Genomic DNA, 23,842 nt, shown 5'->3' on the forward strand with positions numbered 1-23,842 from the left:
TGGGTCAGCTTGTGGTAAATGCTGCCTGGCCAGGGACTCTCCCTTCAGGGCAGTGGGCTCCCCTCTCCTCTCACCCAGGTCAGGTACAGAAATGTTGTCCAAGAGCCAAGACCTGGAATCAGGAATCCCAAGAGCCCACTTGGTGACCTATGCCACTGTTGCTGAGCTGGTACCTGATTTTTGGTTCTTATGAAGCTGTTTTTTAAATTTTGTGCAGATAGTTGTTAAATTGGTGTCCTTGTGCGGGGATGATGAGTGTAGCATTCTATTCCTCCATCTTGCTCCACTCCAGGTCTCCCTAGAGATTATTTAAAGTATACAGGAGGATGTATGTAAGTTATATGCGAACACCATACCATTTTATATCAGATAATTGAGCATCCATGGATTTTGGTATCCTTGGAGGATTCCTGGAAGCAATCTCCATGGATACCAAGGGATGACTGTATATGAGATCATATTATAACAACCATTTGGCCAAGTGCAGTGCCTCATGCCTGTAATCCCAGCACTTGGGGAGGCTGAGGCAGGTGGATCACCTGAGATTGGTAGTTCAAGACCAGCCTGGCCAACATGGTGAAACCCCATCTCTACTAAAAATACAAAAAATTAGCCGGACGTGGTGGCAGGCACCTGTAATCCCAGCTACTTGGAAGGCTGAGGCAGGAGAATTGCTCAAACCTGGGAGGCAGAGGTCGCAGTGAGCCGTGGTCATGCCATTGCACTCCAGCTTGGGTGACAAGAGCAAAACTCTGTCTAAAAAAAAAGAAACCACTTTCTCTGTGTTTTAGTCAAAGACATTATGAGCACCTTTCATTAAATATTCTTTCTTTCTTTTTTTTTTTTTTTTGAGACACAGTTTTGCTCTTTTTGCTCAGGCTGGAGTGCAATGGCACGATCTTGGCTCACTGCAACCTCTGCCTCCTGGGTTCAAGTGATTCTCCTGCCTCAGCTTCCCAAGTAGCTGGGATTACAGGTGCCTGCCACCACGTCCGGCTAATTTTTTGTATTTTTAGTAGAGATGGGGTTTCACCATATTGGCCAGGATGGTCTCGATCTCTTGACCTCATGATCCACCCGCCTTGGCCTCCCAAAGTGCTGGGATTACAGGCATGAGCCACTGCACCCAGCCTCATTAAATATTCTTTACTCCAGTTCTTAGAGCTATCTAGTATTCTGTTTTATGGTGGGCTACAATATGTTATTCCTTCATCGTAAATTATTTAGGCAGTTTTCAATTTTTCACTATTTATTACAGTTCAATTTGGTGTTTAAACACATCTGTTTACCAGATGAAATAGTACTTGGGAAAAAGCTTTATGAAAATTTACATTATTACTTTCTTGTTATTTCCATTGTTGTTGGCTTATTTGACTATGTTACTCGTTTTGCCCTGGCCCAATGGAAAGTGCTTTGAGGGTGAAGACAGTTCCTTAATTCCTGCTTTGAGGTGTGCCATCCCCAGCACAGCATTGAACATAAGACAGATATTTCATGGGAGCGATCAGATGGGATGGTCAGTGATGCCTGGTCAATTGCAACAGACTCGTACTCTTTTGAAAACATTGATCACAGTGTATGTCCTTTTGTTGAGATGAAGTCTCACTCTTGTCGCCCAGGCTGGAGTGTAATGGCACGATCTCGGCTCACTGCAACCTCTAACTCCTGGGTTCAAGCAATTCTTGTGCCCCAGCCTCCCGAGTAGCTGGAATTACAGGCATGTGCCACCACACCTGGCTAATTTTTGTATTTTTAGTAGAGATGGGGTTTCACCATGTTGGCCAGGCTGGTCTCAAACTCCTGATCTCAGGCGATCCGCCCACCTTGGCCTCCCAAAGTGCTGAGATTACAGGTGTGAACCACCGCGCCCAGCCCTAGTCTATGTTCCTTTTAAATTAAAAGTATTTAGGAAAACATTTTATATATTTTAACTTTTTTTTTTTTTTTTTTGAGACAGAGTCTCCCTCTGTCACCCAGGCTGGAGTGTAGTAGTGCCATCTTGGCTCACTGCAACCTCCACCTCCCAGTTCAAGCGATTCTCCTGCCTCAGCCTCCCAAGTACCTGGGACTACAGGTGTGCACCACCACACCCGGCTAATTTTTTTGGTATTTTTAGTAGAATCTGGATTTCACCACGTTGGTCAGGCTGGTCTTAAACTCCTGACCTCAAATGATCCACCTGCCTCAGCCTCCCAAAGTGCTGGGATCACAGGTGTGGGCCACTGCGCCCGGCCTATTTTAACTTTTAACTGTGCATCATACTCATTCAGAAATGTGTACATATCATAAATATACAACCCAATAAATTATCACACTGAGCATGTGTGGGTAATTGGCAGCTAGATCAAAACAATATTTCAGCACCCCAGAAAATCCCCTTTGTAGTCCACACTTAAGTTCTTGGTTTTGTTTGATTTTGTTTTGTTTTTGTGGTCATTGCAGGTGCTTTGGATTTTAGTTGCGTTGTTCATTTTCTTAATTTTTCAGATTCAGCCTTAGCAAATGGAATCTTGCTTATAGCAAGATTGTCAGTTACTGGTAAAAGGAGCTCTGGGGCCCAGCGCGGTGGCTCATGCCTATAATCCCAGCACTTTGGGAGGCAAAGGTAAATCACTTGAACCCCTACTCTACAAAAAATTAAAAGAAATTGGCTGGGCATGGTGGTGCGCACCTGTAGTCCCAGCAGCTACTTGGGAGGCTGAGGTGGGAGGATGACTCAAGCTAGGAGGTCGAGGCTGCAGTGAGCCATGATTGCACCACTGAACTCTAGTCTGGGGGACAGAGCAAGACCCTGTTCCCCCACAAAAAGACAGTCAGGTAGGCACTGGAGGGAACAGCATCCCCCAAAGTGGCTCCAAGCAAGGGCAAAAGCTCTGAAGTCAGAGCCAGGCTTTGGGCCACATTGAGGGAATGCGAATGAGACCAAGTGGCTGGAGCCCAAAGGGCCATGGGGAGGAGGCTGGAAATGAGACGGAATAGATGCTTCAGGCGGGCAGGTGAAGAGACAGATCTTGGAGGCACTCAGGTTGTAGGAACGTTTATATTTACTCTGAGGGAAATAGGGAGCCATGGGAGGGATGGGAGCACAGGAGTTATATGACCTGGCTTAGATCATTAAAAAGATCATCCTGGCCGCTACTAAGGTATTTACTGGGGGTAAGAATGGAATCAGGAAAACTAGTTTGGAGCCTGTTACAACAATCTGAATGGGAAAAGATGGTCCTTTTTCTGATATTTATTGTTGTTTAACAAACTACTTCAAAACTTCTGGCTTAAAACATCAATGGTTTATTATTTTTCATGATTCTGGAGGCTTCTGGCAATTCTGTGCTTCGCGAGTATTGGCTCAGTCATATTGTCTCCCTTCTTTGCTTGCCTGGTAATTTTTATTTTTTTATATTTATTTATTTATTTATTTATTTAGAGGCCGAGTCTTGCTCTGTCGCCCAGGCTGGAGTGCAGTGGCTCGATCTCTGCTCACTGCAAGCTCCGCCTCCCAGGTTAACGCCATTCTCCTGCCTCAGTCTCCCGAGTAGCTGGGACTACAGGTGCCCGCCACCACGCCCAGCTAATTTTTTTTGTATTTTTAGTCGAGGTGAGATTTCACCATGTTAGCCAGGATGGTCTCAATCTCCTGACTTTGTGATCCACCCGCCTCGGCCTCCCAAAGTACTGGGATTATCGGCGTGAGCCACCGCGCCAGGCCAATTGTCTTGTAATTTTTAAAGAACTGTTTGCCAGCCAGGTACGGTGGCTCATGCCTATAATCCCAGCACTTTGGGAGGCTGAGGCAGGAGGATGGCTTGAGGCTAGGAGTTTGAGAACAGCCTGGACAACATAGCTAGATCCTGTGTCTATTAAAAAATTATAATTTTTAATAAAAAATTGTTTGCCAGGAATGTATTTTACTTTGTTGGGTGCAGGATATTATGTTTCTGTGAATTATCTCAAGTTCTGTTCTGGGATGCAGTTAAGTTCCTTGGAAATAGTTTGATCCTTTTAGGGTGTAAGATGTGTTAAGTGGGATCAGAGCAGTGTTTAGTCCAGAGCTAATTATTCTCCACTACTGAGGCAAGATGCTTCTGAGGGCTCTGCCCAGTGCCTTGTGAATTGTGAGATTGTCCAGGCTGCCTGCGTGAGCTCCAATACTAGTTCCTCTAATCCAATGCTCTAATTCAAGAAAATATGACAGAGTTCATTGTTGTGAAGCAGAGTTGCCCAGGAAGCCCACAGAATCATGAGAAATAATAAAAATTTGTTAAATAATAAATAACTGAAAAAAAAAAAAGAGCTGGATCCAGGTCTTTGCACAACCTCAGGTAGGTGTTGCTAGTGTGTGCCAATCAGAGCTCAGCTGAAGACCTCTGGTGGGCCCTTTGCCGATCTCTGGAGCTCTCTCTCTGCAGTATTTTGCTCTCTGGTATGCTGTCCACCTGAATTCCCTCACTGCCTCAGTCTCCCCTGCCTCTCAGCTTCATCTCAACTCAGAGAGAGCCTGTCCTGACCCTCCTGGACATGTTGAGTTTAATGTGCCTCTTACCATACTAGTGAAGATTCCTTGAAATGCCGTCTGGAAGAGGTCCCTTATAAACAAACTCCTGGATTTCATAACTCAGAAAGGGGAAACCAAACATCGTATGTCTTCAGTTATAAGTGAGAGCTAAGCTATGAGGATGCAAAGGCATAAGAATGATGTGATGGACATTGGGGACTCCGGGGGAAGGGTGGGAGGGGGTGAGGGGTGAAAGACACATTGGGTACAGTGTAGACTGCTCGGGTGATGGGTGCACCAAAATCTCAGACATTACCACTAAATAACTTATACATGTAACCAAATACCACCTGTGCCCCCAAAACTATTGAAAAAAAAACAACAACAACAAAAAAGTCCTGGACTTCAATTGTCCAAGGTGAGTCAAAGACTCAGGCAAATCTCCTACGGAATGTCAGGTTGTCTATCAATTGATTGCCTTGTCATTTGGGATCTGATATTGGGATCAAATTGGCATCTGTAACTCCTCAAGTTATTTCAAGTACTGGGTCTTTGATTTGGTCTATGAGCCACAAAACCTTGTCTGTCTCCTTCCTGTTTAGCTAAAACAAACAAATAAGTAGTGATTCTGATAATCCCTTATTTAAAAAGTACACGTAACATGTAAGAGATTTTACTTGTGACCTATGAGCCGCATTATTATTTGTTATTAGTAGTAGCCGAAATGCTGACATTGATGAATGATAGGCTTTTCAAAATATTAGTTAGATGTAGTTAGTGTGTTCTTATAATAATAACACTCACTCATCAGCTTCAGTGTTAGCCAGGACTCTTGCTTGAAAATCATGGAAGTCAACTGAGAGTAATTTAAGAAAAACTTCTACAACAAATCCCCCTACAGAAATGAAATTTAGAGGCCCATTTAGCTCAAAAGCCTAAGACGTAGGGCCTGATTCAGTCTTCAGATCTCTCTCCTTCCCTGTCGATTCTGTTTCCTTCTCCCTATCTTCATTTTCAGCCTGGTGGGACCAGATTTACGTCAGCCTTAAAGTTTTGATCTCTAAATAAATAAATAAAAGAATAATTTCTCTGATATCTCTGGCAAAGTCCTGGGGCAGGGGGAATCTCAGGTGCCTAGGCTTAGGTCTCATGCCCCTCCTTGCTGTGGGGTCAGAAGAGGGTAAGCCCACAGGGTCATGTGACTTCAGCAGGCTTCCCACGGAGTGGGCTTTTTCATCCCTGGCAACATTGATACTCTGGGCTGGATGATTGTCTGTTGTGAGGCTGCCCTGTGCATTATAGGATGTTTAGCAACCTCCCTGGTCTCTACCCACTAAGATACCAGTAGTACCTCTCTCCTTTCCCCATAGTTGTGGTAACGAAAAATGTCTCTAGATGTTGCCAAATGTCTTCTGGTGGGCAAAATTGCCCCCATTAAGAAGCACTTCTATGAAGCAGGAGTACTTTCCTTTGGGTAGAGATGCTGGGCAAGACAGGGCAGGATGGCTAATGCCTAGAGTCCCAACACTTTGGGAGGCTGAGGCAGGAAGATCTCTTGAGTTCAAGAGTTGGAGACCAGCCTGGGGCAACATAGTGAGACCTTGTGCCTACTAAAAATAAAAAAAAAAAAATAGCCAGGTGTGGTGGTGCATGCCTGTAGATGAGCTACTTGGAAGGCTGAGGCAGGAGGATTGCTTGAGCCCAAGAGATAGAGCCTGTAGTGTGCTGTGATTATACCACTGCACTCCAGCCTGGGCAACAGAGTGAGACCCTGTCTCAAGAAAAAAAGAAAAGAAAAGAAAAAAAGAGAAACCGGGTAGGAAGACAGGCCCACCACCCAAGTCAATGTGTTTTCTGAGCAAAGCAGAAGGAGATGGATCTACAGATGCGATCTGTACTATGAACAATTTCAGTGGCTGCAACGTTGTGCAGTGCTTTAATTTCTCACAAAATAATTTTGGGAGAGGGTTCATAAAAACTGGGAAATACCTGTGAAAATGTGAGATTAATGTAAGTATCGTAGCAGAACCAGAATAAATGAAAGCTCTCTAGTGTCATGATGAAAACTATTAACTATTACTATTAACTATTAACTAAGACTGTGTCTGATTCATTGCTTGTAACACAATCCTTGAAACTGGGTGATTTATAAGAAACAAAATTTACTCCTTACAGTTCTAGAAGCTGGTTGAGGAGAGTCATCTGGTGAGAGGCTTCTTGCTGATGGGGCCTCTGCAGAGCCGCAAGGCTGCACAGGGCATCACATGATCACATGGCACAAAGGCTGAGCATTCTAGCTCAGGTCTCTCTTCCTCTTCTTATAAAGACACCAGTTCCACTCCCATAACAACCCATTAGCCCATTAATCCATGAAAGAATTAATTCATTCATGAGGACAGAGCCCTTGTGACCTAATCACCTCTTAAAGGTCCAACCCCTCAATACTGCCACATCGGCAATTAAGTTTCAACAAGAGTTTTGGAGGTGACGAACACTCAAACCATAGCAGACTGAAATACCAAGTTTTATTTTGGCTCAATATTGTACTAGGTACATGATCATTCTTAAATTATTTAATCTTTGAAATCATTGGTTTCCTCCAGTATAAAAGATGATAAATGATATCAGGCAACCAATTGCTGATGTATGTGAAACTGTGAAGTACTAGGCAAATGGAATATTATTTAAACATACTCTTCAATTAGTTGAATATGAAAGCTACTTTGGTGACTTCTGATTTTTTAGAATCAGAAAATTTCCTCCCTTCCTTTCTTCTTCCCTCCCTCTTCCCTCCCTCCCTCCTTCCCTCTGTCCCTCCCTCCCTCCTTCTTTCTTCCTCCCCATCCTCCTCCCTCTTTGTCTCTTCTTAATTTTTTCTTTCATCTTCTTTTTGGCTTGTTGGTTAATGTAGAGATATAAGTGTTGTAACAAATAAGTTACTATTATTTTCTAGTATGTTCCAAGAAGCAAAAAAAAAAATATTGCTTGCCTGATTTATTACCAGTTTATTCTGTTCCTGCTGTTAAAAAATTAGGGAAAAAAAAGGGAAAGGAAAGAAAAACATTTCCAGTTCGTTGAGCTAACTGGTGGGTGAGAGGCTGAGAAATGATACCATCCTTGCGAAGGCAGATATTATGTCCCAAGAGCACACGATGTGTATGTTCTCAACCTTCTGGCTCTGTTCCACCTTGGTAATAATCCAACCAGTTAATTCCGTGGGACTTAAGCTTCTGGTCTTTGTCTGAACAAATCAGAAATTGCCAGAAAATGTTAGAACAAATTGTAGATCCCAGTTGTAGTGAAGGGTAGAATATATCCCAGAAACAAAACAAATGACTTAATCCATTGTCAGATGTGGGGGCTCTATGATTCATCCCTTAAAAGAGAATTATGGTAGGGCTTACTTCCCAAGTGAAAGAAAGACAATGTGCTCTTCCATCTAATCCGATTGTAGGAAAATTTCGGAATGTCACCTTTTAGAGTAAACATTGCTTGACTCTTAGATTAGGTCTGTAATTTATGGTGCAGGATCTCCTTTAGAGTTTTCAGTAAAGAATGCTGTATTTGTTCCTTTTCTGTTTGCAAAAATAGGCGTTTGGGTGTGACATCCCTTAGGGTGATCATTATCAGTGGATCATTTTACATATTCTTGTGCCAATTCTAAAATAAGCACATATATTTCTCAACCAGTTGAGTATCTCCTAAATGATGCTTTCTTCTCAGTGGGAAGCTTTGGATACTTATGAAAAAAAAAATCAGAGTTCTTTAAGTTGGAGAGTCCACGCTGATATTCATCACAATTTGCATTTGAATAGTACAAACTACAGGAAACCATGGTTGGGGGGGGAGGTGAAATTTTTATTATGTGCTTGGCGAGGAGTCTCTGAGTGTTTATAGTTTGGGAACGGATACTAGCAGAAGGCTTTCTGTTGTTGTTAGGGACGGCTCACATTCCCTTCCCACCCACTCACTGCCATCTACAGCTCAGCTTTGGAGTCAGAATAGCACTTTTCCTACGTTTAGTAGGACTAAGAAAGATTTTTTTTTCTCCCCTTGGCATATTCCTGCAGCTGGATATTAGGGAAGCAAGGAAGCTGTTGAATAGCTTTCTAGCTAACCACATTCATAGTATTCTTTCTCATCTTCCTTCAGAGTTTCTGTTTAGTTTTGTTCTGTTCTAAGGACCTATTTCCTCTCTAATGAAATTTTCGTAGGACCCTGTTGTTTGAATGTTTGTTTCTGGACCCTTTGAGGTTTCTTTACTGGCATTGTTATTTTGATTGGAGAGCCAATTTGCTATCTGTGAACTTTTGCAGATGCGTGAATCGTGAGTGAGATAGAGAGGTGACATATATTTGAGTGTGTGGTATGGGGGAGAGAAAGAGTCACTTTTTGTGCTCTTCCGGGCACGTCTTCAAACACACCATGCTGTCCCCCACACAGTGAGTAGAATTATCCCAACTGTTTTTAAGTTTTAAAGTGCTAACAAACAGAAAAAACAATGAAAATAATTTTCTCTTCAAGGATCTCTGAGAACTCTGGCCACACCTCATTCTTAAAAGCATAATATGTGAGTGACTAGGACAGAATTCTTTCCCTGGATTCCCTTAGAGAATGTCTCACGAAATAACGTCTCATGGCAATGAATCATCGGCTCAGGATCCGACCAGTAAGCCACTGGCCACATTTCTATTTTTAAGAGTCACTAGGAAAAGTTGGAAATAATTTTAGAAAATAAAGAAAATACTCTTTGGCCTTTCTTTCATTTTCTTTTCATTTGGGGAGTAAGTGGAGAATGGGGGAAGAGATCTCATGTCTTTGATTCATGTAAAGCCAAGTTCTGGAAATATAGCAAACGCAGGAGAACTCTTTCTTAAGTGGTAGGAACAGTCCTAATTCCCACAGTTTAGGTTATCTGGTCTATTTCAAGGTTTTGGTGCGTGAGGTTTGGTGTCAACAGCATGATATGATCTGTGGTATACTTAGGGTTCCCAAATATGAATGTAGAAGCATTGAAATAATTTATTTTATTGGATTTGAATTCACTAAATATAGCCCTTGAGTCATGTATAAAATCTCATTGTTCTAATATGAAACAAATGCTGAGTTTATTGTCAAGCCTAATTAACATGTCATGAACATGGGGCACCTGTAAATGATAGAATCTGAGTTAACAACAGCTCTCTGACTGTGTGCACGGGCTGTTTGGAGGGCTTCTTCATGCTCAAAGTTCAACGGCATTTAGAGTTTCAACAGTTCACTGCTTCAATTTTTGTTTACTTTCGTTTCCCCTGGGCAGAACTCTCTAATCTGGGTTTAACTTTTTATACTATACTTGTGAGAGGTGCTCAAATTACCCTACTCCAATAATAGCATACTCTTCATATGGGAAATTTGAAAAGTGCCTCTGCCCACTCTATACAGAATTTCCTGTGCTGTACATTTATCCTGCTGAGACAGGAAACACAATTATTGTTTGGAATTAAGCTAGACCCTTGAGGAACATGAAGTTCTGCTTATGGTTTCCCCACCCCCCTCCATCATCAGACATGGGTGTTGTTTTATCAGAAATAAATAAAAACGGATAATGTAGCTACAAATAGCTACAGGGAAGGAAAAATCTATTTGTAAGATTTTTATTACTTGTGCCTAAATAAGATGGTTCTCTGAACATTTGCTGACTGTTTACAAGAGAAAAATAATTATTCCTGGCTTGTAAGCCTGTCAGGCCATCACAGAAGAAGGTACAAACTATTTCCACATTTTTTAACCCCCTCAGTTTCTCTATGATTATTCGTTGACTATTTTAGCTGGTGACACAATGAAAAAACAGAGTCTAAGCAATTTCTCTAGGAATCAAGATTTATCTGCATTTTTTTTTTTTTTTTTTTTTTGGCCAGAGTGGCGTGATCTTGGCTCACTGCAACCTCCGCCTCCCAGGTTCAAGCGATTCTCGTGCCTCAGCCTCCCAAGTAGCTGGGATTACAGGCATGTGCCACCATGTTCAGCTAGTTTTTGTATTTTCAGTAGAGACGGGGTTTTGCCATATTGGCCAGGCTGGTCTTGAACTCATGATCTCAGGTGATCTGCCCACCTTGGCCTCCCGAAATGCTGGGATTACCGGCATGAGCCACCATGCCCGACCTTGCATCTTTGGATAATCAAATATTACCTCTTCAGAAAAGACTTCCATGGAAGCCCCTTATGAAATACTGCCAGAGCCCTCACCTCCCATATGGCTCCATTTTCTTGTCCTGTTCACTTTCTTCAAAGCATTCATCACTATGAAGTATTATATTAATATATGTATTATTTACTAGCTTATACACCTCTAGGACAGTGCTACCCAACAGAAATATAATGCAAGCCACACAGGAAATTTAAAATTTTCTAGGAGTCATATTAAGAAAGTAAAAAGAGGTCAGGCGTGGTGGCTCACTCCTGTCATCCCAGAACTTTGGGAGGCCAAGGCAGGCAGAGAGCTTGAGCTCAGGAGTTCGAGACCAGCCTGGGGAACATGATGAAACTCCATCTCTACTAAAAATACAAAAATTATACTAGCTGGGCATGATGGTACACACCTGTAGTCCCAGCTACTCAGGAGGCTTATGTGGGAGGATCGCTTGATCTCAGGGAGGTCAAGGCTGCAGTGAGCCGTGATCATACCACTGCACTCCGGCCTGGATGACAGAGTGAGACCTCATTTCAAAAAAAAAAAAGAAGGTAAAAAGAAAATGAATACTATTATATTTATTATAATAGTAGTGTTTCATTAAACCCAGTATGTCCATAATATTATCATTTTAACATGTAATCAACATAAAATAATTGTTAATGAGATATTTTTTATTCATTTTTTGAACTAAGTCTTTGAAATCCAGTGTGTGTTTTACTCTCACAGCATATCTCAGTCCCGACCAGCCCCATTCAAGTGCTCAGTGGCCACTTGAGGCCTGTGGCTACCATATCAGCCTGCGTGGCTCATCTATAAACTCCAGGTGGTCAGCAACTTTGTTTTGTTCCCTAGAGCATTGACGCACACACACTAAAGACATAGTAAATAGTCAATGAAGTAGCAAATGAATGTTAAAATTATAAAGACCACAACTGTTTAGCCAAAGGTCTGTGTATTCAATGCCTTCCAGCATGTTGCAATGACTGTAGTTTTTCTCTTTTTCCTAATGTTTCCTTCTTGCCCACCAATCTAAGAATATCAAAATGCAAAGAATGTCACTATGATCATTTGTTTTGTCATTGAACTAGTTTTTCTGGGAAAAGCCAGATACCATATCCCGTGGTGACTCTCTGCCCACACACCCCTCTGAATGGATTCATTAAAGTTCCATTCTTGCATATTTTTTCCTCTTGGCTCTATGTTCCATCCCTTTAATCAATTCTTGAGCTGCTTAATTAGCAATGATTCAAAACATTTTTTAAAAGATCACGCATCCGTTGATATTTTGCCAGCACCTCCTTCCTTTCATCAAGGCCAATAAACAAAAATGCATTTGGCGCCTTCTTTGTGCCAGATACCATTGCAGTAGGAACTGCAGATATACTTTAGCGTAGCGAAGACCCCAGTCCTCTCCCTCAGTCCAGTGGGGAGAAAGTCAGTCATTACGATGAGGATGAGGAGAGTCTGGTGGTACAGACACGAGCTCTGGTGATGGACAATGGAGGTTCAAATCCTGGTGCTGCCACTTGCAGCTATATGGGCTTGAGCCTGTCACAATATATCTCTAGCCCTTAGTTTTTCCATCTGTAAAATGGGGATAATAATAGTATGTACAGGTATTAGTCAATTTTTACACCGCTATAATGAAATAACAGAGACTAGGTAATGTGTAAAGAAAAAGAAGTTTAACGGACTCACAATCATGGTGGAAGGCAAAGGAAGGCAAAGGCACGTATTACATGGTGGCAGGCAAGAGAATGTGTGCAGGGGAACTGCCCTTTATAAAACCATCAGATCTTGTAAGACTTATTCACTATCATGAGAACAGCATGAGAAAAACCCACCCCATGATTTAATTACCTCCCACCGGGTCCCTCCCACGACACATGGGGATTATAGGAGCTACAATTCAAGATGAGATTTGGGTGGGGACACAGCCAAACCATGTCAGTACCTCATAGTGTTGTGAGGATTAAATTATACATATGTGTTCTGTGGTGAGCAGGTCTACGCAAACCTACCCCAAAAGTCCTAAGAAGCTAAAAGACCAAAGAAAGTGGCTGACACAACGATTTTCTTGGAAAATAACATTTCATAGGGACTTACAAACAGAAAACATGTTTGTGTCTTGGGTGGTGGTGAGACAAGATGGTGGATCCTTGTGTCATTATCCCCCTGACCCAGAACTTCTATGTTATAGGGAAAGGTGACTACAAAGGGATGTTTAGGGCAATTGAAGTGCAATAACATCTAGATTGTTTGACCTCAGGGCAGAATTTACAGTAACTACCTGCTCTTACACAGGAACAATAGACAATCTGGAAATCTTGGAGGCCTTCTGGGGAACTAGGGTTAATCAGAAGTCAACATGTCGGGTTAGCTTCCAAGATGGCGCTGCTTTAGCCTCCACAATACGTGTCTTTGTTACTGATTGTCTTTATTACACATTATAACCCCTGTTAAGGGGTAGCCTTGGCTCATTGCTAGCAGTGGTTAAGAGACATACATATCTAATACATAAAAGTAATGACAAAAACCACAATTACTTTTCCACCAACCTAATGTTAATATTAAAACATGGCCCTTTAGAGCAATTCACAAGGCACACTAGCCCTGACACTGATGGGTCAGGTGACATTTCTTAGGGGAAGCACCTTCTCAACTGAAAGCCGGTGGCGAGTCCAAGTTGGCTGGATAAAACGTTTAAGCGGGAGGGAAGAGTGTGTGCAAAGACCCGGGATGAGGAACTATTCTGGCAGTTTAAGGAACTGGAATAAGTCAAGCCTGGCTGAGACACAAGCTCCAAAGCCTCTGGGAACCAGGTAGAATATATTAGGGTGAATCATATAATACTCAACAATTTTCAGACTATAAGAACAGCGATTACCTACGGTTTAGCCTAAGAGGATGGCTAAAGTGTGCTGTGTGTTAAAAACAAAAATGTAAACCACAACAACAGCAAGTTCCTTGATAAATTGTGGGGCAGGAAACATTGGGTCTCAATGAGCAGCCGTGGCCACTTGGGCTGGCGGAACATGTGGAGTGGAGCACCTGTGCAAAGGGTGGCCCCAGTGCATTGCCACCACAGACGCCCTGTGTGACTAAATACTCAGCTATGTGCATTTTTAAAGGGAAGTCCAAAAATAACACTTTATAGGTTGTCTTTTGATTTTAAAATGTTAGTGTGCTCTCTCTCTCTCTCTCTTTCTCTCTCTCTCCCTTTCTCTTTTGGCTAGGGGAGCAGAGTAGGGACCAGAGTATTTGCAGGCTGAATGTGGCCCCTAAACTACTTGAAGCCAATCTTTGGCTCAGAGTTTAGACTAAGGTGGGCAGGAATGAGGCACCTTCTGATTTTTTTAATTTTTAATTTTTAGGAGCACCTCGTTGAATGATTTTTTTACTTTTTCTTGCTCTGCTTGAAATCTTTTCCTTTTATTTTTTGAGACAGAGTCTTCCTTTGTTGCCCAGGCTGGAGTGCAGTGGCAGGATCTCAGCTCACTGCAATCTCTGCCTCCCGGGTTCAAGCAATTCTTCTGCCTCAGCCTCCGAAGAGCTGGGATTACAGGCATGTGCCACTATGCCTGGCTAGTTGTTTTTTTTTTATATATATATTTTTAGTAGAGACAGGGTTTCGCCATGTTGGCCAGGCTAGTCTCGAACTCTTGACATCAGGTGATACACCTGCCTTGGCCTCCCAAAATGTTGGGATTACAGGTGCAAGCCACCTTGCCTGGCCAGAAAATCTTTTCCTTCTAAAGCCCTCCAGTGGCTACTGCGGCACTTAGAATCAAGTTCAAATTCTTTGCCATGGTTTATAAGACTTCCCCCAGCCCTGACCTGATATACCCTGTAGCCTCTCAACTGTTGAGAGGAACCTCTTCTACTGTTCCTCCGTAACAGTGCTCTAACTGCACTTAACTTTAAAACAATTTTTTTTTTTGAGACGGAGTCTCACTCTGTCACCAGGCTGGAGTGCAGTGGCGCGATCTCGGCTAACTGCCACCTCTGCCTCCTGGGTTCAAGTGTGCCTCCCAGGTTCATTCAATTCTCCTGCCTCAGCCTCCTGAGTAACTGGGACTACAGGCGTGTGCTACCACGCCCAGCTAATTTTTGTATTTTTAGTAGAGACGGGGTTTCACCCTGTTGGCCAGGATGGTCTCGATCTCTTGACCTCGTGATCCGCCTGCCTCGGCCTCCCAAAGTGCTGGGATTATAGGCGTGAGCCACCGCGCCTGGCCTAAAACAATTTTTAAAACTCACCAAGTTTTTTTGCCCCAGGACCTTTGCACTGGCTGTTCTGTCTGTTTGATATGCGTCTCTCTTAGGTGATCACAAGGCTGGCATCTCCTCATTCAGAGTTCAGGTCCAATGTTATCTCCTTGGGGAGGCTGTGTCAAGGATCACCAAGTCACTCTCAGACTTGAGGACTTGCCAGGAGAACTCACAGGACTGAGCATCTAGTAGTGCGCATGACTCACGTGTATTGCAATAAAAGGACGCCAAGCCAAATCAGCGAAGGGAAAAGGCACTCGGGGTGATGTCTAGGGGAGACCGGGTGCAAGCTTCCAAGAACCCTCTTGCAGAGGAGTCACACAGGACGTGCGTACTTCCCCAGCGACAGTGGTGGCAACAGGTGTCACATGTTATCTACCAAGGAAGCTTATTAGAGACCCAGTGCCCAGGGTTTTACTGGGGGCTGGTGAAATGCATACCCAAATCCAGATTCCCAGAAGGAAAGCAGATATTCTGCATAGACTGTGTCGTCTGTACAAACAGTTTAGGCACAGTGAGCCATTCTTTCTTTTTCTGTTGGTTTGTATCTTTTTATTTCATAAATTGTTTTTACAACTCCCTATGGTTATGACCACCTAATGCCAAAGTAAAAATTTTGAATTGCCAGATTTTTATGAACTGTCAGAACAGTATGTAAAACTATACTTTAAAATAAAACTATAAAATAAAAAAATTAAAAATATTAAAAAAATTAAAAATAACTATAAAAGGTTGAGGGTCACCAATCATTCTAAAGAATAGAGACAAAAGGAGAAGCATATTGTTGTTTATTTAATATAATCATAAAAGTTCTGTAACACTGTCATTCAGGTAGAATTTGTGTCATTAGGCCAGGCGCGGTGGCTTACACCTGTAATCCCAGCACTTTGGGAGGCCGAGGAGGGCGGATTACAAGGTCAGGAGATCGAGACCATCCTGGCTAACACAGTGAAACCCTGTCTGTACTAAAAATACAAAAGAAATTAGGCGGGCACTGTGGCTGGTGCCTGTAGTCCCAGCTACTCAGGAGGCTGAGGCAGGGGAATGGCGTGTTCCCGGAAGGTGGAGCTTGCAGTGAGCCGAGATCATGCCACTGCACTCCAACCTGGGCAACAGAGCAAGACTCTGTCTCAAAAAAAAAAAAAAAAAAAAGAAATTGTGTCATTAATTATTAATGTCCCTATCTATTATCTAGGATTGACACTTTGAGGAAATTGACTGTTTTTGTAGATCCACTTCAGATAAGAGCTCATAGCGATAGATCTAGTGGCTTAGCTGCTTTAAGATTATCTCATGAAATGTTGCAATAAAAAATTATTTTTCGGCCTGTCGTGGTGCCTGTAATCCTAACATTTTGGGAGGCCGAGGTGGGAGGATCACTTGGGGTCGGGAGTTTGAGACCATCCTGGCCAACATGGTAAGACCCCGTCTCTACTAAAAATACAAAAATCAGCTGGGCATGGTGGCGGGCGCCTGTAGTCCCAGCTGTGCAACGCGGGAGGCTGAGACAGGAGAATAGTTTGAACCCGGGAGGTTGCGGTGAGCCGAGATAACGCCATTGCACTCCAACCTGGGCGACAGAGCAAAACTCTGCCTCAAAAAGAAAAAAAAATTACTATATATTTTGTCAAGTCACTCTTAATAGTTAATGGTGGGAATCCTCCTGAGATCCAAGCTTTCAGACAGTGGTCAAGGGCCCATAGCAAGTAGACGTTTCTGAGGAGGGCAGTCTCACACTGCTATTTAAACTCTTTCCTGCGCAGAGGGCTTCCCTGAGCACACCCCCAAAGTTACTCTCCCCTCAGTCAGTTTCTGATCTATAATTCGGTTTTCTTTTCTTCTTGGTCCTTACTACAGTCTAACATAATCCCATTTATTTCTTTGCTTACTGGTGGGCTGCCTGTCAGGTAAAGATGTGGACTTCTTGTGAGAGGAAACCACACCTGACGATTTGCTGTTTGAACCCTAGTGTCTATAACATTGCCTGGCTCAGGTAATCAGCGACCATTTATTAAATGAATTAACAAATGATTCACCTGTCCATTGCTCAAGGATAATGCTTGCTCCCTGATGGGACAAGAATGACTTCCTTTTACTTGTCCTAAGTGCTCCTCTTTCAGGCTTTGCACTTTGGCCTGTGGGTGCCCTGCTCAAGGTGTTGGCTGACTTGCTCAGCTGAGAGGCAGCTCTCCTGGGTGGGAACAGTCTAGTTTATCCTCTCCCTGGCCAGGCGGACTGACTCTTCTTTTCTTTTCTCTTTTCTTTTTTCTTTTCTTTTCTTTTCTTTTCTCTTTTCTCTTCTCTTTCCTTTTCTTCTCCCTCCCTCCCTCCCTGCTTGCTTGCTTTCCCTTCCTTCCCTCCCTCCCTCCTTCCTTCCTTCCCTCCCTCCTTCCTTCCTTCCCTCCCTCCCTCCTTCCTTCCTTCCCTCCCTCCTTCCTTCCTTCCCTCCCTCCCTCCTTCCTTTCTTTTTCCTTTCTTTCTTCTTTCTTGGTTTTCCTTCTTTCTCCGTCTTTTTTGGTTTTCTTTCTCTTCTTTAATTTTTAATTTTTATACATTTAGGCAGTCCAAGTGCAGTACTTGATTATATAGTGTTATGGTTGAGTCTGGGCTTTTAGTACAACTATCATGCAAATAGTGTGTGTTGTACCCACAGACCGCATCTTTCCGGACTGAAATGTTTTGTTTGTTTCTTTTTTTTTCTTTCTTTCTTTCTTTTGAGACTCTGACTCCCTAGTTCAAGCGATTCACCTGCCTCAGCCTCTCGAGTAGCTGGGATTACAGGCGCCCACCACCACACCCGGCTAATTTTTGTATTTTTAGTAGAGACAGGGTTTCACCATGTTGGCCAGGATGGTCTTGATCTTCTGACCTCGTGATCTGCCCGCCTAGACCTCCCAAAGTGCTGAGATTACGGGCATGAGCCACCGTGCCCGGCTCAATTTGTTTCTTTTTAAATTTAATTTTAAATTTAAATTTTATTGATTTATTTATTTGTTTTTGAGACAGTCTCTCCGTCACCCAGGCTGGAGTGCAGTGGTGCGATCTCGGCTCTCTGCAGCCTCCTCCTCCCAGGTTCAAGTAATTCTCCTGTTAGTCCCATTTTATGGATGAGGAAACAGGTTTCCTGAAGGCATTTGCTTTGGGTTAGAACATAAAGCCAGCGAGTAGGGGAACTGGAATTCAAATTGAAGTCCGTTTGACTTAAGAGGCTCCACCTTTGACAATTAACATGCTGTCTACACAACACACACACACACACACACACACACACACGCGCGCGTACATTTTATAAGCGCTGAAGTTGTAAAAGGGTAACCTTTGATCCTTACACTACCTTATACTTCACAGCAAACTTTTCCAGAGAGTTTCATCTCAACTTCCAAGGAACTTTTCCCAGCACTTTGGGAGGCTGAAGCCGGTGGATCACCTGAGATCAGGAGTTCGAGACCAGCCTGGCTAACATGGTGAAACTCCATCTCCACTAAAAAAAAATACAAAAATTAGCCAGGCATGGTGGTGGGCACCTGTAATCCCAGCTACTTGGGGGGCCGAGGCAGGAGAATCACTTGAACCCGGGAGGCAAAAGTTGCAGTGAGCTGAGATCATGTCACTGCACTCCAGCCTGGGCAACAGATGGAGACTGCGCCTTAAAAAAAAAAGGGGGGGGCCGGGCGCGGTGGCTCATGCCTGTAATATCAGCACTTTGGGAGGCTGAGGTGGGCAGATCACCTGAGATTGGGAGTTCGAGACCAGCCTGACCAAAATGAAGAAACCCCGTCTCTACTAAAAATACAAAAATTAGCCAGGCGTGGTGGCGCATGCCTGTAATCCCAGCTACTCGGGAGGCTGAGGCAGGAGAATCACTTGAACCCGGGAGGCTGAGGCAGGAGAATCACTTGAACCCAGGAGGCAGAAGTTGCAGTGAGCCGAGATTGCGCCATTGCACTCCAGCCTGGGCAACAAGAGCAAAACCCCATCTCAAAAATAAATAAATAAAAACAAAACTTCCTTTTTTTTCTTTTTTCCCTTTTTCTTTCCTTCCTGCTTTCCTCCTCTTTCATCCTTCATTCACTTTTTCTTCAGAAACGCAGCCAGGCACTGTGCTAGTCACTGGGGAGACAGGTGCGAACAAGACACACACCTGTAGTTTGCCTCTTTGCAATCTGGCTTTAAGGTGCTGCAGGCATTGAAGCCACCAGGTTCGTAAATGGCAAGCCACAAGAATTTTGCAAAAGGTCCCAGAAAGTGAGGAAGCCACTGAGGTCATGACTGCAGGGCACTCCCACTGTGCGAACAAAAAGTGAGGCCACAGCTGCTAGGTGCCACCACAGGAGGAAGCAAAAATATCATCTCCTTCCTGCCAAGAGGCCTGAGAGGACGCAGCTGCCTGCACCTCGGCATGTCCAGCCTGCATCCTGCTCCTCACCCTGGCTAGGATGGTGCCTCCCCAGCTATGCAGTCAGTGGGCTGTGTGGGAGCCATTGTCCCCACGTCCACCTCCCAGAAACCTCACTGCTAGGATTGGCCCTGCCTTTCACCCAGGTGTGGCCACCAACTACTTGACCTTTAGACATAAAGTTTTTTCTTTTAACTTTTGGTGGCTGCTTCACAAACATTTTCTTTTTATCTCCCTCTTCTTCTTCTTTTCTCCCTCTTCTCAAAAGAGGCAGCCTCTGGAAAACAAAAGAAAAAGACAGAAAGAGGGGGATTTAAGGACTATCGAACCCTCCCCTCCTGCTAAATGTTTAGGTTTTCATAGTCCTTATTAACCCTATCCATGGTTCCATTAATGAAACATCCCTCAATTCCCAATAATAACAGCTAACTTTAGGCCAGGCGCTGTGGCTCACGCCTGTAATCCCAGAACTTTGGGAGGCCAAAGTGGGTGGATCACCTAAAGTCAGGAGTTCGAGACCAGCCTGGCCAACATAGTGAAACCCTGTCTCTATTGAAAATACAAAAAAATGAGCTGGGCATGGTGGTGCATGCCTGTATTTCCAGCTACTTGAGAGGCTGAGGTGGGAGAATCACTTGAACCCAGGAGGTGGAGGTTGCAGTGAGCCAAGATGGTGCCATTGCATTCCAGCCTAGGTGACACAGTGAGACTTCACCTAAAAAAATACTACTACTACAATGACTACTACTAGTACTACTACTTGTAATAGCTAACTTTAACCAAAGACCTTATGTGAGCCTGCACTAGCTCACAGAATCCTTCCAATACTATGCAATGTAGGGACTGTGATTATCTCCAATTATAGATGAGAAGCTGAGCCTTGGAGGGAGGACTGCCATCTGTCTAGCATTAATGGTTAAATAGCTGGAAAATGGTGAAGCCAGGCAGGTCAGACTCCAGATATATATGTGCATTTATTGCAAACTCAACTTTCATTTTCCTTTACCCATGTATAGAACCCATCACAGAGGAAATGGATTTCATGTGAGTCACATGCATATTTTTTCTATAACATTTTGGAATACTTAAGCACCATCAATTAAAAAGTCACATATCTCTCTGGGTTCTTTGGTGATACTTACTGAGTGGAAGTAGACATTATGTTCTCTGTCCATAACTGATCAGCTCAAAATCTTTGTTAATTATTGTGCCCTGAGTTAACTTACTCATTATTTCTTTTTGAAAGATGGTAGGCTTGAAAATATGTCTAAGGAAAAATCATATTTGTGTGGATATATTTTTTTAGCCCTCTATGTAGATTCTTACTGCACTGGGGCATAGTCTCACAGGGTTAAATTATTCAAGCCACAGACAAAAACTTGTACCCAAATGTTTAGAGCAACATTGTTCATAATAGTTAAAAGGTAGAAACAATAAAAATGTCCATTAGCTGATTAATGGAGAAACAAAATGTGATCTATTCACACAATGAAATATTATTGTCATAAAAAGAAATGTATTAATACATGCTACAACATGAATGAACCTTGAAAAAATGTTAAGTGAAAGAAACCAATCACAAAACACCAAACACTATATGATTCCATTCATATGAAAGTCCGGAATAGCCTGCAGGCTGAGGTGGCTCATGCCTGTAATCCCAGCACTTTGGGAGGCCAAGGTAGGAGGATTGCTTGAGGCCAGGAGTTTGAGACCAGCCTGGGCAACATAGCAAGACTCTGTGTCTCTACCAAAAAATTAAAAAAATTTAAAACATAATAAAGATAAATAAAATTTTTTAAAAGCTGGGTGAGGTGGCTCATGCCTGTAATCCCAGCACTTTGGGAGGCCAAGGTAGGAGGATTGCTTGAGGCCAGGAGTTTGAGACCAGCCTGGGCAACATAGCAAGACTCTGTGTCTCTGCCAAAAAATTAAAAAAATTTAAAACATAATAAAGATAAATAAAATTTTTTAAAAGCTGGGTGTGGTGGCTTATGCCTGTAATCCCAGCACTTTGGGAGGCCAAGGAGTTGAGGCAAGGAATTCGAGACCAGCCTGGGCAACATAGTAAGACCCTGCCTCTACTAAAAATAAAAATAAAATTACCTGGGCATCGGGGTGCACACCTATAGTCCCAACTACTTGGAAGGCTGAGGTAGGAGGATTGCTTGAGCCCAGGAATTCAAGGCTGCAGTAAGTTATGATCATGCTACTGCACCCCAGGCTGGGTGACAGAGAGAGACCCTATCTCAAAAATAAATAAAATAATAAAATAAAACGAGTCCAGAATTGGGCAATCTATAGAACAGAAAGTAGGTTGCTTAGGGCTGGCAGGGCAGGAGGAGTGGGTACCGGGGGATTAGGGGATAGTAGGTAAAGTTTATAGGGTTTTTTGTGAGGTGATAACAATGTTCTAAAAGTGATTGTGTTCGTGGTTGCCCATATCTATGAATACACCAAACACAATTGAATTATGCACTTTAAAAGGGTGACTTTCATAATATGTGAATATATTCCAATGAAACTGTTTAAAATATCATTAATCTGGCCACATAAAGCTTATAATTCAAGCTTTATGTACAGGCATCCCTTGTTTTCACTATGCTTCACTATATTGCCCTTCTCAGGTACTATGTTTGTTACAAATTGAAGGTTTGTGGCAACCCTGTGACCAGCAAGTCTATCAGCACCATTTTCCCAACCACAAAGTGAGTATGACGTGCTCACTTTGTGTCTCTGTGTCACATTTTGGTAATGCTCACAATACTCACACTTTGCCATTGTTATTATATCTACTATGGTGATCTCTGATCAGTGATCTTTCAGTTACTATTGTACTTATTTTGAGGTACCATGAACCATACCCATATAAGATGGCAAACTTAATTGATAAATATTGTGAGTGTTCTGACTGCTCCACTGACTGGCTCATCTCTCTCTCTCTCTCTTTCTTTCTTTCTTTCCTTCATCTCTCACTTTCTTTCTAGGCTTCCCTAGACCCTAAGACACAACAATACTGAAATTAGGCCAGTTACTAACCCTGTGATGGCCTCTAAGTGTTGAAATGAAAGGAAGAGTTGCATGTCTCTCACTCTAAATCAAAAGTTAGAAATGATTAGGGCATGTCAAAAGCCAAGAAAAGCCAAAAGCTAGGCCTCTTGTGCCAACTAACCAGCCTGTGCATGCACAGGAAAAGTTCTTGAAGGAAATTGAAAGTACCACCCCTGTGAACACATAAGTGATAAGAAAGTGAAACAACTTTATTGCTGAGATGGAGAAAATTTTAGTGGTCTGGATAGAAAATTAAATCAGCTATAATATTTCCTTAAGCTAAAACCTAATCCAAAGCAAGGCTCTAACTCTCTTCAATTCTGTGGAAGGTAGAGAGGTGAAGAAGTTGCAGAAGAAACGTTGGAAGCTAGCAGAGGTTGGCTCATGAAGTTTAAGGAAAGAAGCCATCTCCATAAGATAGAAGTGCAAGGCTGGGCGCAGTGGCTCATGCTTGTAATCCCAGCACTTTGGGAGGCTGAGGCAGGTGGATCACGAGGTCAGGAGTTCGAGACCAGCCTTGCCAAAATAGTGAAACCCTGTCTCTACTAAAAATACAAAAATTAGCTAGGCATGGTGGCGAGCACCTGTAATCCCAGCTACTCAGGAGGCTGGGGCAGGAGAATCACTTGAACCTGGGAGGCGAAGGTTGCAATGAGCCAAAATCACACCACTGCACTCCAGCCTGGGTAACAGAGCTAGATTCCATCTCAAAAAAAAAAAAAAAAAAGATAAAAGTGCAGGTGAAGCAGCAGGTGCTGATGAAGAATCTGCAGCAAGTTCTCCAGAAGCTCTAGCTAAGATCACTGATGGAGGTGGCCACACTAAGCAATAGATTTTCAGTGTAGACGAAACAAACTTCAATTGGAAGAGGATAGCATCTAGGACTTTCACAGCTAGAGAGAAGTCAATGCCTGGCTTCAAAGCTTCAAAGACTGATTCTTTTGTTAGGGGCTAATGTAGCTGGTAACTATAAGTTGAAGCCAGTGCTCATTTGTCATTCTGAAAATCCTATGGCCCCTAAAAAGATGATGCTAAATCTACTCTGCCCATGCTCTATAGGTGGAACGACAAAGCCTGGTTGACAGCACATCTGTTTACAGCTTGGTTTACTGAAAATTTTAAGCCCACTGTTGAAACCTACTCCTCAGGGGAAAAAAATTCAAAATATTACTTCCCATTGACAATGTACCTGGTCACTCCAGAGCTCTGATGGAGATGTTCAAGGAGGTGAATGTTGCTTTCATGCCTGTTGACACAACGTCCATTCTGCAGCTCTTGGATCAAGGAGGAATTTTGACTTTCAAGTGTTATTATTTAAGAAATACATTTCTAAGTCTATAGCTGCTATAGATAGTGATTCCTCTGATAGATCTGGGCAAAGTAAATTGAAAACCTTCTGGAAAGAATTCATGATTTTAGATGCCATTACAAACATTCTTGCTTCATGGGAGGAGGT

At 42.9% G+C, this 23,842-nt stretch overlaps 4 annotated features.

The window, feature by feature from the left end:
• Positions 8,271-8,380: an enhancer, noted in NCBI's record as "active region_18137". NCBI's record gives its function as "activates an Ori minimal core promoter by ATAC-STARR-seq in GM12878 lymphoblastoid cells {active_cell/tissue: GM12878}" and the evidence as "EXISTENCE:reporter gene assay evidence [ECO:0000049][PMID:35858748]".
• Positions 9,647-9,791: an enhancer, noted in NCBI's record as "145 bp enhancer 186 fragment used in the MPRA reporter construct; PK_construct_1603". NCBI's record gives its function as "activates an SV40 promoter by MPRA in HepG2 cells {active_cell/tissue: HepG2}" and the evidence as "EXISTENCE:reporter gene assay evidence [ECO:0000049][PMID:23512712]".
• Positions 9,713-9,726: a transcriptional cis regulatory region, noted in NCBI's record as "HNF4 motif; enhancer activity is reduced when this motif is scrambled". NCBI's record gives its function as "necessary for full MPRA enhancer 186 activity {active_cell/tissue: HepG2}" and the evidence as "EXISTENCE:site-directed mutagenesis evidence [ECO:0005528][PMID:23512712]".
• Positions 19,223-19,793: an enhancer, noted in NCBI's record as "H3K27ac-H3K4me1 hESC enhancer chr20:52456215-52456785 (GRCh37/hg19 assembly coordinates)". NCBI's record gives its function as "activates a minimal SCP1, AML or CMV promoter by ChIP-STARR-seq in naive H9 embryonic stem cells {active_cell/tissue: H9 hESC(naive)}" and the evidence as "EXISTENCE:reporter gene assay evidence [ECO:0000049][PMID:30033119]".

The sequence above is a fragment of the Homo sapiens genome, chromosome 20 (genome assembly GCF_000001405.40).
Source record: "Homo sapiens chromosome 20, GRCh38.p14 Primary Assembly".
Classification (NCBI taxonomy): Eukaryota; Metazoa; Chordata; class Mammalia; order Primates; family Hominidae; genus Homo; species Homo sapiens.